The following is a 16679-nucleotide window of genomic DNA, read 5'->3' as shown; positions in this document are numbered from 1 at the left end:
CCAAGGCGGGTAGATCACCAGAGGTTAGGAGTTTGAGACCAGCCTGGCCAACATGGTGAAACCCCATCTCTACTAAAATATAAAAAAATTAGCTAGGCGTGGTGGCGGCGCCTGTAGTCCCAGCTACTCATGAGGCTGAGGCAGGAGAATCGCTTGAACCCAGAAGCAAAGGCTGCAGTGAGCCGAGATAGCACCATTGCACTCCAGCCTGGGCAACAAAAGTGAAACCCCGTCACAAAAAAAAAAAACACAACAACAAACAACAACAACAACAAGTTTAAACAAATTAAATAAGCCGAGTGTGGTGGCTTGAGCCTACAGTCCTAGCTACTGGAGAAGCTGGGGCAGGAGGACTGCTTGAGCTCAGCAGTCCAAGGCTGCAGTAGCTATGATCACTCCGCTGCTTTCCAGCCAGCCAGGGTGACAGACTGAGATACTCAAAAAAAAAGAAAGAAAAAAGAAAAGAAAAATAGAAGAATGTGTGGTCAGTAATTGGTGATTGAAGACATGATTTACATTTTCTTACTACAAATAAGACGGCATGGATTTCTCAAAGATGTGGCAATAAAAATGCTGATATGTGGTCAAGGCCTCACTTGTGGCAATGATAACTTCTCTGGTAATAATTAAACACCCTGATCTTCAGGTTTTACATCAAACGTTCAACTTCTCAGTATCTTTGTGGGCACATCTAATGTGCGCATTATCTATTTATGTATGTCTATGTTTTGATGTGTATATATACGCACACACAAGTACTCAGGCCTAATTTTCACCTCTTTCTTCATCTGCTCCCTGAAAGGTACTCTCAAGATTTGGTTGTGGGTTTATCATATCCTCCTTCCTTTTTTTTCTCTTTTCTTCCTATCCAAGAGCTCTTCCACCCTTAGGATTTTAACCACCACTGTTATAAACTCCCAGTGTTCAACCCAAATGCTTATTTTTAACCATGTTTGCTAGACATCTCCACACAAAAGTCCCAACATCCCTTCAAACCCAACACACAGAAACCTCATCTTCTGCCCGCAAAACCAGGCCCTTTCCCCACCTTTATCTACCCATCTCCTTTCTCTACTCTTGCACCATTTATCTGGTCTAGAAACAAAGTGAATTTTGTTTCTAAATTCACAAGCTGTAATTTTTCTTTAAAATAACCTCTTGACAATATCCCCTCCCTTCCATTCTGTCCACACCTTTTATCTCCTTACATCTAGACTACAAAGCCTCAACTCTGTCTCTAGATCCCACCCCTTTCAAACCCCTTTCCCGCACCTTTCCTCCATGTGACTGCCTGCTTTAAAAAAACACTGAAAATCTTTCCATTCACATTCATAAAGAATATATAGCAAAGTTCTTTATTATGGCTTGAAAGTACTTCTGCAATCTGTTCTCTCCCTTCTCTCCCTATCCTACTCCTTTCCCACTCTAGAACACCCTTGGCTCCAACCAAACAGTTCTCTCCCTAGCTCCTCATCGCAACCTGCCCTTCTTCTTTTTAACCACCCTTCCTTTGCTTGCAGGCACTCCCTCCTCATCAACAAACACCTGACCTGGGTAGACCCTCTGCTTACCAAGATCCAGTCCACCTTTTGACATCAGCATTCATGCTGCCTCTTTTTACGAACCAAGCCAAAGTGGTCCCTTCCTCTGGAAATTATAGGATACTTAATGTACATCATATCCAGGTATGATACTAGAACTTTAAGCCTGGTAAGTTAGTTACATTTTATAAAAGCATCTTATCCTAAGATTATAAATTGATGACAAGCAAGAACTGATAGTACCCAGCATGTGTGATATCCGTAAGTTTGATGAACTGATGAATGGATTACATGACAATAATCTGTCCATCATGGATAGAAAAAGAACACTACTATTCTCATATCTGCTGTACCCATATTCATCTTCATAAAAAATGTTTCAAGTTTTACAATGGAGAAATAAAGGTGTTTCCATCCACTTCCCTCTAAAATTACCCCCAAACAGGATAAAAAAACAAAAACACAAACTCCATCTTCCATGAAACAATGAGGTTATTTCAACCCTGAATTAAACTATATGAAGTCAGAAAGTAGACTGAGGGATAGTAAATGGTTAAGCTCAGAAACTGGACAAGCACCGGGGAGTTTGTAGGGAGCTCGCAGGGAGCAATAAGTTACAAACAACCATAAATTCTATGCAGCACTTTCCATCAAAAAGCAGAGTATTTCAGCATCATCTGAACCTGGGCTAGACTTAGGACTTATACTGATGAACAAAATGTGACAGGAGTGATGTTACTCAGTTCCAAGCTTAAGCCTCTAGAGACAGACTCTGCAGCTTCCACTTACATCTCTTGAATGCCATCCTGAGAGCAACATGTGAAAAAGTCCAAGCTAGCCTACTGGAAGATGAAAGACTACATGGAACACAGACAAGCCATTCCGGCTGAGGCCCCCTAAGCCAACCTAACAATCCACCCACAGAATTGTGAGAAGTCATTAAATTATCCTTTTAAACCACTAAGTTTTGGAATGCTCTGCTTTATAACAAATGCTACAAGATAAAGGGAGTTAGGTACAATTCTCAAAATGAAAGAGACTACTCTCTGCAATTTCAGCTCCCTTTCCTTGCTCACAAAGGTAGCACAAGAAATTACATACATGAAACAAGAAGAGAATGCTATTAAAAAGAGCTCCTGGAAATTAAAAATGTAAGAACAGAAAATTTGTAACTCCGTAAAAACACCAAAATAAAAAGTCAAGGAAATTTTCCATAAAGCAGAATAAAGAGATGAATAGGGCCATGTATATATTTATTATATATCCTTTATTATATATAAAATAAAGGAGTTCTCCACTCCAACAAAAAAAATAATCTAAGGGGTCTAATATCTGATTAATGAGAGTTTCACAGAATTTTTTAAAAGTGAAAATAGGGTAGCGGAAATTGTCAAAGAAATAATACAAAAACAAATTTCTCCAAATGGAAGATGGTAAGTTTATAGAGCCAAAGGGCCAAGAGAGTACAGAAAGCACGACAAATAGAGGAAACTGTGTAAAAGACCCACATATGGTGAAATTTCAGAACATTAGGGATATATGAAGAAAATCTTAAAACCTTCATGGAGGGGTGGAGATGGAGGCAAAGACAGGAATAAGAGTAACATCAGACCTCTCAAAATAGTGACATTGTAAGATGGGAGACAGTAAAGAAATGTCTTCAAAATTCCAAGGGGAAAATATGTATAACTTAGAAGACTACAGCCAGCTAAATAGCAAAGAAGAGTGAAGATTAAATCAGGATATTCTCAGACGTTGAAAGTCTCAAATCATCTATTCCCATGCTCCCTTTCTCAAAAAGCTCCTGGGGGATGTTTCCTAAAAGCTGAGAGAATAAACCGAGAAAAAAATAAAATATTGAGATCTAGGAAACAAGATTTTTAAAAATAGGACAGAAATGAAGGCATTCCTAGAAGGACAGCTATGTGGTACACCAGGTCCTGAGTGCACCAGGACAGGTAGAAGCAGGAGGGTAAGAGTCTCCACGAGGGGCATTTTCAGGGGCAAAAATTTTTTTTCCAAAAAAAATCTGACAGGTATGTGGAAATGTCTTTGAAAGATGGTTTGTAAAGCTGCTGGAGAGTGAGAACTAGCCAAAGTTAAAAAAAAAAAAAAAAACTATGCAAATCAAAATAATCAATTAACCCTAATAAAAACAAAAGGAGTCCTAGACTATATGGTACTATATAATAAGATAAAACCCTATACTTCTTGGCTCAATATTAAATATATATATTCACATTAGTAAACATTAAGGATTTAACTAATAATTGTGGTATCTTATCCTGAGAGGAAGGAGGAGGGGGATGCACAGTCATCCACCTTCAAAGCCAGTCAATAAACAGATAATATGTAAAGCTGGAGAATGAAGACAGCAGTATTTACAATCACGATGTCAAAAACTTGAAGCATCAGCTAAGATTTGAAAATGTTTGTCTGGGTACTGACACAGCAGGGTTGGTGGGAAGGAGACAGGTGGGGATATATCATTTTCACAACAAGCTTTTTAGCACACATTTAAAGTGTAAACATGTTATATGTGATGTGTCTCATCTTTATGGAAGTTCAGTAGTTGTACATGAACTGACAGATTTCTTATACTAACCAACCTCGTGTCATTCAATTTATGGCTGAAATGTACCAAATCCTTATATGCCATCCACAGGAATAATAAGCTTCCCCATCGCCCCTCCTTCCACCACCACCACCGGGCTAATGTCTGAGCTTTCAATAATCCTGTTTACCTTTTGCTGCTATCAACACACTCTCATCTTTCATAAACTTCAAAATTAATTCAACTAATCTAAAAATACCTTGGCCCTTTTCTGACCACTGCTTTTCCTCACTGTTATGTTTATAAGGATCTAAGAGGATACACAGCTAGATGGGCCCATTAAACAGGTTTACAGTAAGTGACAAATATGCAACAACTCCACTAATTTCCTTCCCCATTATGCAAAACCATACACCGGCAATCCTTTCTTCAAATTACAGAACACACAAAATTATCCGCTAGGACAACTGTACTTGGTACTGTGACATCAGAGTAAAAAATCACCGCGTCACTGGGCGAAGCTGAAATATTCAAATGTTACCTAGCACCTGACTAGAACAAAAAAACAACACTGGTGAAAACTACACCAAAATAGAGCAATCTGTCTTGTTTGTTGTTTGGTTTTTAACAAACAGAAAGCAGGCAAGGTGAATTAACACCTATACCTTGAAGGTGACAAGGAACATCATATTCGATCTCATCATGTCTCGACGGGCTTAGGAACAAAGTTCCATCCACCAGTGGGAACTGTTCGAACACCGGGAGCGCCCGGTGGCACAGGGCACAGTTTACCACGTTTCTGTGGCTGGCACTGAGCGCGGCCAGAATGAACTTCCGCAAGTCTTCCCCCTGGCCCACTTGGGCATCGTCTTCCATGCGCACGTGGAAAGTGTTCAGCTTATGCCTGGGGATGTGAGTGAGGAGTTCGGAGAGGTCCAGCCGCCGAAGGAACTGCACGGGGGTGTCGAAGTGTCCCCCCCTGTGAACTGCCAACCCCGCAGGGCTGTAATCAAAGTGGGCATTTCTGAACACATGGCCCCCAGCCATGGCCTTCTTGTGAGGCTCCAGATGGATGGCGTTCTTTAAGAACTCCCCGAGGTATCTGGAGGAGCGGGGGCCGCTGAAGTGGGCAGGAGAGAGGATGGAGTAGCCCGTGGGTGGGGACTGGCCCGGGGAGCCACCGGGGGAACGGGCACCGTAGGCTGCGGCACCCACTGCCTTCTCCTGGGAGTTCTGCCGGTCCATGGAATGCCGGCGGGGGAGGTCGTGGCTTGGGCCTTTCTGGGGCTTATTTGGGGGCCTGCACTTTTTTGCCTCCTCCGCCGCCTCACCAGGAGGCCTCCCTGTGTTCTTCTCGGAGCCAGACTTCTTCTTTTTCTCGTCCTGCATCCGCTTCACCTGATACCAGTCTGTGTCCTTCTTCAAGTGGCCCTGGCCACAGCGGCAAGAGCAGAAGCGGAAGGCCAGGTCGTAGCCCTTCTTTGTCCACATGTTCTGGCGGCATTGCTTCTCGTTCCAGCTGCGCGCGCGGCCGATGCAGTTGAACTGGACGAGGATGCTGCTCTCCCACTCGTAGAAGCACTGCAGGTGCATCCAGGTGCTGCAGGGGCAGTGCTCGTTGTTGCACACCACCTTCTGGTAGTCGTCCTTCTCCAGGTCCACCGGCCTACCGAAGCTGCAGATCAGGGGAGTGGCACATGGGGCTTCTGGGGGAGGAATAAAGAGAGAACAGATTTCAGATTTTTGGATTAGGGGTACTCAACCTGTACTTGCAACAGTATGGTATAAGGTTTTTCTAAGACATGAATATAATGAAAGGCAGTTCCAGGGTTCCTTTAAAGATGAATCACTCCAGTGAACCAGGGAATAATATGATGAAGCTACTTAACCAACCAGTCTGGTGGAATCTCTAAAAAGGACCTTCAACGCCCTTCATCCTGAGCTTTAGGTTGTCCTGAATACCAGAAAGCCGCTGGAACATAGACGGTCTCATACCGATTTCTCGTCTAAGGTGGTCTGACACCCAATGGCAGGGATATTGAATCAAACTAATTGTTGGTCTACACAAAATTACAAAGCCAGGCTGTGAAGGAAAAAACCAGAATTCTTCCAAAGCTACCAGGACAGGAAGTGGGAACAACATAGTTGTACTCTATCTTAAGTACATGTCCCACACATGTCCCACACTGTGCAAACAGCCAAGCCGGTTCCCAGAAAGGACAGAAAACATGGTGACAGAAAGTAGAATCCGCTAACCCAATTCTTAAGAAATAAACATGATTCATGGATATGGGAACTCCACTGATTCCTTACAGCTATTCAATGATAACTGAACATCTGAGCTTAGAATTTATTTCTAAAATGTCAAAAAGACATGATAGAGTCAGTAAAAAAAAAAAAAAAAAGTGGTTGCCACAGGGGGTGGGGGATGAGCAGGTGAAGCACAGAGGATTTTTAGGGAAGTGAATCTATTCCCGTGATACTATAATGGCAGATACACGTCATTATACATTTGTCAAAATCCACAGGATGTACAATACCAAAAGGGAACCCTAATGTCAACTATGAAATTAAATGACAATGATGTGTAAATGTAGGTTCATCAATTGTAACATATGTACCATTCTGTATTCACAGTGGGGGAGGCTGGAGGAGGGCAGGAGGTATATGGGAACACTCTATACCTCCAGTTTTTCTGTGAACTTAAATCTGCTCTAAAAAATAAAATCTGTTTTTTTAAAATGAGAAATAAAAGGACATGTATGTATAAGTCCTGGTTCCATGGGATACTAGCCGTGTAAAAGTGAACTGGTTATTTCATCTGTTTAATCTTCCATTTCCTCAACCATAAATGGGCATAATTGTAGTAGCTACCTTATAGAGATTTTTTGAAGATTAAATAAGAAATGCTTATAAAGAGTTTAGCACAGTACCTGGCACATAAAGGATCATTAATGTTGTTGCTGCTGTTCTTGTCGTTAGCTGACTGTGACACAGCTTGGGATATTTTTATTTACAAAAGAAGCTGTGTAATAAGGTGGCCAGAGGTGGAAGGGGCTAATGTAGAGATGGCAAAACTGACCAAATGTGGGGCCAAACTGGGAGACTGAGAGTCTCATAGTGCAGGACCAAGGAAGGAAACCTGTTGCCACAGGCCCAAAAGAGTGGCTGCCGGTTGTATGAGCGGTGGGGGGCGGTGGGGGGGAGGTTAGTGTGGCTTACAGGCTGGGATGACAAGGGTGCTTCAGGGAGTCACACAACTAACAGCCTTCCCCACTTGTGTCTTGGCATTTCTACAATTTTCAATACAATTCATCACTCCCTTACATTCTTGCTTGCATTTCCGTAGGATTTTATACCATGCAGTTCTTTTGCCTCCCAATCCCCAAAATAAGTACTCTCCAGGACCAGTGCTCAGCATTTCTCTCCTCATCCTCTAGGCAGAAGCTAAAAACTACATCGCCAATTCTTAATGAGGGCACTACTGGCATCTGGACAATTCTCTTCCTGTAATGCACTGGACAGCCCAGTCCAGCACACTACAGGAAGCAAACATCACTAGGCCTGAGCACTCAGTATCTGTAGCCCACCCACCCCACCTTCCCCATCATGATACCCCCAATGTTCATAACACTTTCAAAGGGCCCCTTTGGAGGGAAATACTACTCTCCCAATTGGGAACCACTGGGCTTGGTCATGAAGCAGTTTAGATTATGTGTATAGATGACAGAAGCTAAAGGCAGACTCCCAGGCTCAGAGTTCTGCTCTAGAAAGCTCCCCTGGTGGCAGCGTGGGGCACGGGACTGGAAGTAAGGAGGCCAGAGGGAGGGTGCTGTGGGTTGAGAAATAAGGAGTGCCTGTGCTTCAGGAGCAGTGTGAGAAGATGCTCAGAGAGAGAGAGAGAGAGAGTGTGTGTGTGTGTTTGTGTGTGTGTGTGTGTGAGAGTCCATGCTGACGGACAGCAATGTGGGAACAGCAGGACAGGGAAGATGGAAAAAGACTTAGGGCTGCCCTATTTAGGACCCACTGATTTAGAAGTGCCTGTGTACCACTGAGGTGGAGGAGACATGAATTTGACTGGAGCTCAAGAGAGCTAGAGCTGTGAATACAGATGTGGAGTCACTCACCCACAGATGAAGGTCAAATCCCTAGGACTAATGAGATGCCCAAGAAAAACGGGAGGAGTGGGCAGAGACCAGAGGCCAGGAAAAGAATCCTGGGATGCAAGGACTGGAACCAAGGCTGGAGGAGAAGATTCCCCTGCAGAGATTGGTAAGAAATGAACTCAGAATTTACTGAAAAACAAGTCAGGAGAGAATTATGTCCAGGCAGTCAGGGGACAGCGCAGTGGCTCACGCCTGTAATCCCAGCACTTTCGAAGGCCGTGGCGGGTGGATCACCTGAGGTCAGGAGTTCGATACTAGCCTGGCCAACATGATGAAACCCCATCTCTACTAAAAATACAAAAATTAGCTGGGTGTAGTGGCGCACACCTGTAATCCCAGCTACTCGGGAGGCTGAGGTGGGAGTATCACTTGAATTGGAAGACGAAGGTTGTAGTGAGTAGAGATTGTGCCACTGCACACCAGCCTGAGTGGCACAGTGAGACTCCCTTTAAAAAAAAAAAAAAAAAAAAAGAATGGAGAACTGCAAAATGTCCCAGAGCACCAGGTAACATCGGTGCTTCTCCACCTCTGCACTACAGACATTTGGGCTGGATCTCTGTTGTGGGAGCCATCCTGTAAGATGTCTAGCAGCTAGCAGCAACCTCACTGTCCATCCCGTAGAGGCCAGCCCCACTCAATGTCTCCAGGCACTGCCAGGTATCCCCTAGGGGGTAAAATCACCCCGAGTTAAGAATTCACTGGATGCAATAAACCTGAAAAGTCCCAGCCAAAATGAGCAGTGAGCCAGGCACTGTCTCCTCACGGAGAACAGCTCCAGCGGGAATGATGGAGGGCAGGTCAGAGGTAGACAGTGAGGTGAAAAGGCAGAAACAGGGAGACTCCAGGAAACTCTTTCCAGAGGGTAACTGTAGGGCAGGGAAAGAGCATGGGCAGGGTACAGAAGACAGCAGAGGCTGAGCCTTAACACCATGTTCATGAGCTCAGGGAATACAGGCCAAAACCTCACGACAGCTTAAAGACATATGAGAGGGAACAAACCATGTGACTCCTCTACTCAACAACCTTCCCAACCTTATCCCTGCACACTGAACCACAGACACAACATTCCACCAAATCAATCAGCAGAGGGTGGTGGCAATGTGGACCCATAAAGCCTATACAAATATTAGTTCTGTCATATGTTACAATTATCCCCTTCAGGTGTGGGATTCCAGGGCCTTGGCAAAATGGCCCTAAACCAATTTGTCTACCTCTATGTATTAATATTTGATCACCGTGGTTTCCCCTTAATCTTCATTTGTCCAAATCCCATTCAGCCACTGACAGCAATTCACAGTTCAGACTCTGCAACCAGACTGCCTGAGTTGGAATCCAGGCAGGACCATTTATGAGCTGCATGCTCTTGGACAACTTACTTAACTTCTCTTTGTGTCAGTTTCCTCTGTATAAAATGCAGAAAACAACAGAATGTACCTTAAATGGTTCAGAAGAATGAAATGAAAAAAACTATACACATGAAATGCTGAGAAAGCACCTGGCATCTAGTAAACTTCCTCCCCACTCCTACTGCTTCAAGGCCCACCTCTCTACATACCAATTTTACCAGGATTGCCCCCCTATCCTGACTCCAACCCTTCTCCTCCCCTCCCTGATGGTCTGGCCCCAATCTTACTTGAGTCCCTCATCATGGGGACTCTTCATAATCCCCACCAGCTGACGACTCAGGAGAGGAAGCCTCTTACTCATCTTAGTGTTTCCGGCACCACTGGGCCCAGGCTTTGTAAAACTCCAGTGCTGAAAAAAGTCGCATTAAAGATACTGGCTCACCAAACCCACACATGACAAGAGGAGCAGAAGTGAAAAAGAGAGCTGTAATCCTAGACAGTCAGACCTGGATGTACTGAAGCACAACAAAAAGAAGTAGAAGAGTGGTTTGAAACTGAGTAAATTCACCAGTCACCTGGGCTGTGACCTTTAGAGGCCTTTAAAATGTTAATTGGTCAATTATTAAGTGTAGTTGTTTTTATCTTGATCCTTCAGATGAAGAGCCTTGAAGTAAACGTCCCTGAAATGTAACCACAATAACCAAATTTTACTAACCCAAGACCAATAAAATCAAATTAGGTCAAAGGAAGATCTAACTAACATTTGCATTCACAATATTCCAACTGTAAATGTTGAGACTGACTTGATATTTCTTTGAAAAGTATTTTCACACTAAAGAAAGGTGGATTAAGAGAGGAAAAATTCTGTGTCTTTTCAAAAAGCAGCAAATATTTCATTTAACCAATACTGAGCACTTCCTACATGCCAGGTCTTGAGCTAAGAGCTCTAATGGTCTAACAGAAGTGCACACATGGAACACAGACAAGGTACCACAGCTGTGCCCCATCCCTGTCCCTTTAACAGTGTTTGTCATGTTCACAGCCATGCTCCACTGTTTCCTAACCAGAAAACCTCTTCCTTGTATGAAGAGCCCCCACTCCAACTTGCCAGCCCTGCTTGTTTATAGTCAGCCACTTTGATGTGGCCTTGTGGGTAGGCTTCAAAAACAAATACAAAGCCAAGAGCATGTTAAATACACCCAGTAATACACACAACAGACACTTCACCCTATGACACACCAGCAGGGTGAGGCTCCCAGGGAGACAGGCAAAATGGGGTAACAGGGTGGACCTCGGGAATAGTCAGAGGATGTCTGACAATGCTTTTGCTGAAGTGTGTTGGCCTCTAAACTCGGACATTATTTCCTTCAAGGCTCGGTTCAAACATACTTTCCTCCCTCATTAGCACCACCCCTGTCCCCGACACACACACACCACACACACACATTGTCCAAACTGGAAAAGCAGCAGGGAATAACAGAAGAGAGGTGTCTGATGCCAGGTCTGCTCCTGATTAGTTGTTTGACATTGAGCAGTTTTGTTTCCTCATCTGTAAAGTGGGGATAAAATGCTTGCCCTATTCAGCTCATGTACATGAAAACACTTTATAAATAGTAAAGTTTCATAAAAATGTTTGCTTATATGCTACCATAATTTTATACCGCTGTATTTCACTCCCCAGATAAATGCAAACTGCTCCAATGTTTTCTACTTTTTCCAATGTTTTGAACATGCCATACAGGTGTTTAGAAAATAAGTAAGTATGGCCAGGCACAGTGGCTCACGCCTGTAATTCCAGCACTTGGGAGGCTGAGGCCAGAGAATCACTTGCGGCCAGGAGTTAGAGAACAGCCTGGACAACATAGTGAGACTCCGTCTCCATGAAAATTTTAAAAAATTAGTTGGGCTCAGTGGCATGTGCCTATAGTCCCAGCTACTCAGGAGGCTGAGGTGGAAGGATCAAGTGAGTCGAGGAAATTGAGGCTGCAGTGAGCCTCGGCAATGAGTGAAACCTTGTCTCCAAACTAAAAACAGAACAGCAGTCCCACAAAGGCATAAATGGAATATAGATTGATCTGACACAATTAAATCTTCAACAGGAGAGATGGGAGAAGGGTATCATACACTTGTGCCACCAACTTCCCTTGGCGCATTAATCTAAACTGTGATAATCTAACAAGCAAAACAGAAAAATGCTCCTTTACACAGAGTTGGCATTGTTTAAAAAAGTATATAAACCTTCCAAGGCCTGTATTTTAGGTTCATCATCAAGTAGTCAGTACCCAGCTTCTATTTCTTCTGCTCAAGTTAAAATAAACAGGGTTCATGTGATTCTGGGCAAAAATCTCAGTTTCAAGTCTGGATAACAGGGTAGCTAGGCTGCAGTCACCTGGGCCAAGCCTATCCTGTCTCCCCAGCTTTCTTACCCTGCATCCTGCCCTCACTTGAGAACTCTGTGCTCCTTACCTATTGAAAGAGGAGGATCACACTGAATGCCCAATGAGCCCAAATCTCCTGACAACCTCATTCACTGAGGAGCCCCATAAACCGGACATTGCTATTTTCAGCTTTTAAACTATGAGTTAAATATTTTTATCCCCCTTAAAACAGCTGCACCATAAGCAGGTGGGGAGTTGGGTGGAATGAAGGTAAGGAGGGTCTTCTTAAGTCATATGAGGCTTTCCAGGCAAAATCTAAAATAGGGATGACTTAGTCACATTCATCCTTGTAAACCCACTACTGCATAAATAAGTGTTTAATAAATCTTCTGATGAAGGAAAGAATGACCCAACCAGACTCAGTCCTCTGGTTGTGACCACAGTAATAGAGAGAGGGTGAACCCATGGGGAGAACCAGCCCAGCTGCTGGGGAGGCAGCTGCAGAGCTCCAGCCAGGTCTCCTAGATTCAGTCCAGGCCTTCTCTGTCGGGACAGAGCCTGGCCCTCACCCTCACTTCCTCAAACTAACATCATTCCTGCTACCCTCCTTGTGGCACCCAGGTACCATTTTTTTTTTAAAGGAGGAAAAAAAGACATTTATGTGTAAGTCCCGGTTCCATGGGATACTAGCTGTGTAAAAGTGAACTGGTTATTACAAATGTAAGGTTTCAAAACTGTTTTATTAGATCGCTGATTATTCCTCTTATGTGGGAACAAATCCCCTTGTTTGCAGAGAGCATGGTCCTCTTAGGGTATGAATTTCTGACCAGTGTCCTCCATCTCCAGCTTCCCGACTCCAGACTGTGGGAGATGACACAGAGCCAGCCTGCCTGGATGTGACTCAGCTCTGCAACTTATTAAAGACCTTTGGCAAATCACCTAACTTCCCTGTGCCTCTGTTTCCTTACCTGTAAAATCCTGTAAAATGGCAGAAATAATAATTTTTTTTTTCAAAAATTTTTTTTTGAGAGGGAGTTTCGCTCTTGTTGCCCAGGCTGGAGTGCCATGGTGCTATCTCGGCTCACCGCAACCTCCGCCTCCCAGGTTCAAGCGATTCTCCTGCCTCAGCTTCCTAAGTAGCTGAGATTACAGGCATGCGCCACCATGCCTGGCTAATTCTGTATTTTTAGTAGAGATAGGGTTTCTCCATGTTGGTCAGGCTGGTCTTGAACTCCTGACCTCAAGTGATCTGCCTACCTTGGCCTCCCAAAGTGCTGGGATTATAGGCATGGGCCACTGTGCCTGGCCCAGAAATAATAATACTAATACCTACCCCAAAAGGGTTGCCATGAGGAATGAAGAAGTTATTAAAGTAGTTAGAACAGTGCTTGGCACCTAAACACCAATTTTTCTTTTTTTTTTTTTTTTTGAGACAGGGTCTTGCTCTGTTGCTCACACCGGAGTACAGTGGCATGGTCATGGCTTACTGCAGCTTCAACCTGCCAGGCTCAAGCCATCCTCCCACCTCAGCATGGGACTACAGGTGCTGGGACTACAGGTGCACGCCACCACTCCCAGCTGATTTTTTTTTTTTTTTGAGATGGAATCTCGCTCTGTCACCCAGGCTGGAGTGCAGTGGCACGATCTCTGCTCACTGCAAGCTCCGCCTCCCAGGTTCACACCATTCTCCTGCCTCAGCCTCCCAAGTAGCTGGGACTACAGGCACCCGCCACCACACCCAGCTAATTTTTTGTATTTTTTAGTAGAGACGGAGTTTCACTGTGTTTTCCAGGACGGTCTCCATCTCCTGACCTCGTGATCTGCCCGCCTCGGCCTCCCAAAGTGCTGGGATTACAGGCATGAGCCACCGAGCCCAGCCCCAGCTGACTTTTTATAAAAAAATTTTGTAGAGGTGGGGTCTCACTCTGTTACCCAGGCTGGTCTTGAACTCCTGGGCTTAAGTGATCCTCCTGCCTTAGCCTCCCAAAGTGCTGGGATCATAGGTGTGAGCCACTGCACCTGGCCAAGCACTGTTTAACTATAAGCAATTGTTAACAAATGCCATATCACTTTATATTACTTGTCATAAAAATCAAGAGATTTTGAACAAGTTTAGAGCAAAGCCACAACCAGGAAGTGGCCATCCATCCTCCTTTCTCCACATTAAGTGCAAGGCTGGCCGAGCCCACCAGGAGTTGGGCACTTCAGTGTTATTATATTCACCCCCTCTCATTTGCCCCCTTTTGCTACATGCAGGCACACACCCTCCTCCACCTGTGCCTCGCCTCAATCCTGTCCCAAGCCCAATCCCTTCCACATCTTCCCAAGCCCAGGGAGGTGCCAGCCTTCTTAGCTGGGAAAGTACCATCCCACTCTCTACAGCCCTCTATATTACTCTTGGGCCAAATGTTGCCACTTGCATGCTCTCCCAACTTACACTTTTGTCAGTCATGACTTTCTATGTGTGCTTTAGGCTTATGAGGGGCAAGAAGTAGATTTCTTCTTCACAACAAAGCAGTATGGCATGCATAAGATAATTCACTCAATATTTACTGACTAGTGTCAAAGAAGTAGAAGGAAAAGGAGACCTTCAAAATTATCTTCTTCTAACCCCATGAAGATGTTCTTCTCAGTGTCAGACAAATAAGTACTCTGTTATATTGTCAAGAGGCGTGTGAACCAGAGCAACTCTATCTTAAATAGGAGCTGGGTAAAATGAGGCTGAAACCTACTGGGCTGCATTCCCAGATAGTTAAGTCACATGATGAGACAGGAGGTTGGCACAAAACACATATCATAAAGACCTTGCTGATAAAAACAGATTGCAGTAAAGGAGCCGGTCAAAACCGACCAAACCCAAAATGGTGACGAGAGTGACCTCTGGTCATTCTCACTGCTCCACTCCCACCAGTGCCATGACAAGTTTACAAATGCCATGGCAACGTCAGGAAGTTACCCTATATGGTCTAAAAAGGGGAGGCATGAATAATCCACCACTTGTTTAGTGTATCATCAAGAAATAACCATAAAGTGGGCAACCAGCAGCCCTTGGGGCTGCTCTGTCTATGGAGTAGCCATTCTTTTATTCCTTTACTTTCTTAATAAACTTGCTTTCACTTTGCACTGCGGACTCGCCCTGAATTCTTTCTTGTGCGAGATCCAAGAACCCTCTCTTGGAGTCTGGATCAGGACCCCTCTCCTGTAACAATATGTATTTTTAAACCTAATCCATCTTTCCCTAGCATGGGTAACAGAGATTCATGAAGCATGACTGCATTTTACTCATGGGACATGGTCCTGAAGAACTTACATAATTCAGAACAGATTATTCCATAGTCTAAGGATAGAGTATGCGGAATGCACACTCAGAACACAGACACGTGCCGTCATTGTGCTGTATTTCTGCTTTACTCATACTTTTTAATTCTATCAGCATTAACTCTCATACTTCTGAGTTTATTTCATAAATTAACAGCATGTCATTTCCTGGTATCTTTTATCACATCTAATTTCTTTTCCAAAGTTACTGATTTCCAGGATGTTTTTCAGCACCAGTATTAGCACACTTAGGTGATATTTTGAAAGCTACAGGCTGGACACAATGGCACACGCTTATAATTCCAGCATTTTAAGAGGCCAAGGCAGGAAGGTCACTTCAGCCCAGGAGTTCAAAACCAGCCTGGGCAACATGGTGAGATCTCATCTCTATCAAAAAAAGAAAATACAAAAATTAGCCTGGTGTTGTGGCACGTGCCTGTAGTCCCAGCTACTCAGGAGGCCGAGGTGGAAGCATTGGCTTGAGCCTGGGAGGCGGAAGCTGCAGTGAGCCAAGATCATGCTACTACACCACAGCCTGTGTGACAGAGCCAGACCCTGTCAAAGAAAAAAAAAAGAAAAAGCTATAGTAAAGATTTTAAATTGTAACAGTGAATGTAAAAAATAATAATACAAACGTCACCAAAATCCTTACAGAAGTTCTAGCAACAAGAAGAGTTCACATAATACTGCCACAAGTTAGTATTTGTTTATAAGAAAATATAAACATATAAAATATAAACATATTTATAAAATAGAAACATATAAAATATAAAAAATATAAATGGTGCCACTGGGTAAGAAAGCACTTTTATAATTCAGTTGACCTGACAGCTTTGAAAATATGAAATGGCTTCACACATAATTTGGGAAAACATGCTTGTTGAAATTTTGCACACAATGTGAAGCTTTTATTAATATTATTTATATGTGAGTAGTTGAAATTTGCATAATTCAATTTGCATATAATGGGATCACACTGTACTAGAAAAGAAATTAGCAGGCTGCCTTTTCTCTTGTTTGGAGATTTAGATCTTGGGGGTACTAAATCATTGAAAACTACACAGCATCCTAGCACGAAAATGCACTACATAATATGCTCTGAAGGAAATGTAGATTCAGGAGCTCTTGGAACCAAATCACACTATCATAAAATGGGAAGAGGACTCCAGACTAAGCATATGTGTAAGTGTATGTGTGTGTATATGTACGTGTGCATATACAGTCATATGCTATATAACGACGTTTGATTCAACAATGAACTCCGTACACAACAGTGGTCCCATAAGATTATAACTGAACTGACAAATTCCTATTGCCTAGTGACGTCCTAGTATACCTACCTCATTTTTCCCCTACATTTAGGGTAGCCTAAGTGT

At 43.6% G+C, this 16679-nt stretch overlaps 2 protein-coding genes across 6 annotated transcripts in view, besides 1 other annotated feature; one reads left to right on the top strand and one right to left on the bottom strand.

The window, feature by feature from the left end:
• The window catches only part of TXLNB (taxilin beta), a 164789-nt gene extending 151866 nt beyond the window's left edge, over positions 1 to 12923 (top strand). For 3 of the 5 annotated variants that reach the window (XR_007059216.1, XR_007059219.1, XR_007059218.1), the window contains one exon: positions 1521 to 4979. The gene's annotated coding sequence lies outside the window, so the exon portion shown is untranslated. Of the gene's footprint in view, positions 1 to 1520; positions 4980 to 12831 lie in introns of those variants that run through there. The other 2 variants (XR_007059217.1, XR_007059220.1) reach the window with 2 other exon arrangements.
• The window catches only part of HECA (hdc homolog, cell cycle regulator), a 45723-nt gene that overhangs the window by 8718 nt on the left and 20326 nt on the right, over positions 1 to 16679 (bottom strand). Inside the window, exon 2 of the mRNA NM_016217.3 lies at positions 4761 to 5801. Coding sequence (NP_057301.1) covers positions 4761 to 5801 — 1041 coding nt within the window. The remainder of the gene's footprint in view (positions 1 to 4760; positions 5802 to 16679) is intronic.
• Positions 8020 to 8519: an enhancer, noted in NCBI's record as "H3K27ac hESC enhancer chr6:139484703-139485202 (GRCh37/hg19 assembly coordinates)". NCBI's record gives its function as "activates a minimal SCP1, AML or CMV promoter by ChIP-STARR-seq in naive H9 embryonic stem cells {active_cell/tissue: H9 hESC(naive)}" and the evidence as "EXISTENCE:reporter gene assay evidence [ECO:0000049][PMID:30033119]".

The sequence above is a fragment of the Homo sapiens genome, chromosome 6, assembly GCF_000001405.40.
Source record: "Homo sapiens chromosome 6, GRCh38.p14 Primary Assembly".
Taxonomy (NCBI): Eukaryota; Metazoa; Chordata; class Mammalia; order Primates; family Hominidae; genus Homo; species Homo sapiens.
This window is presented reverse-complemented; position numbering and strand designations above follow the sequence as displayed.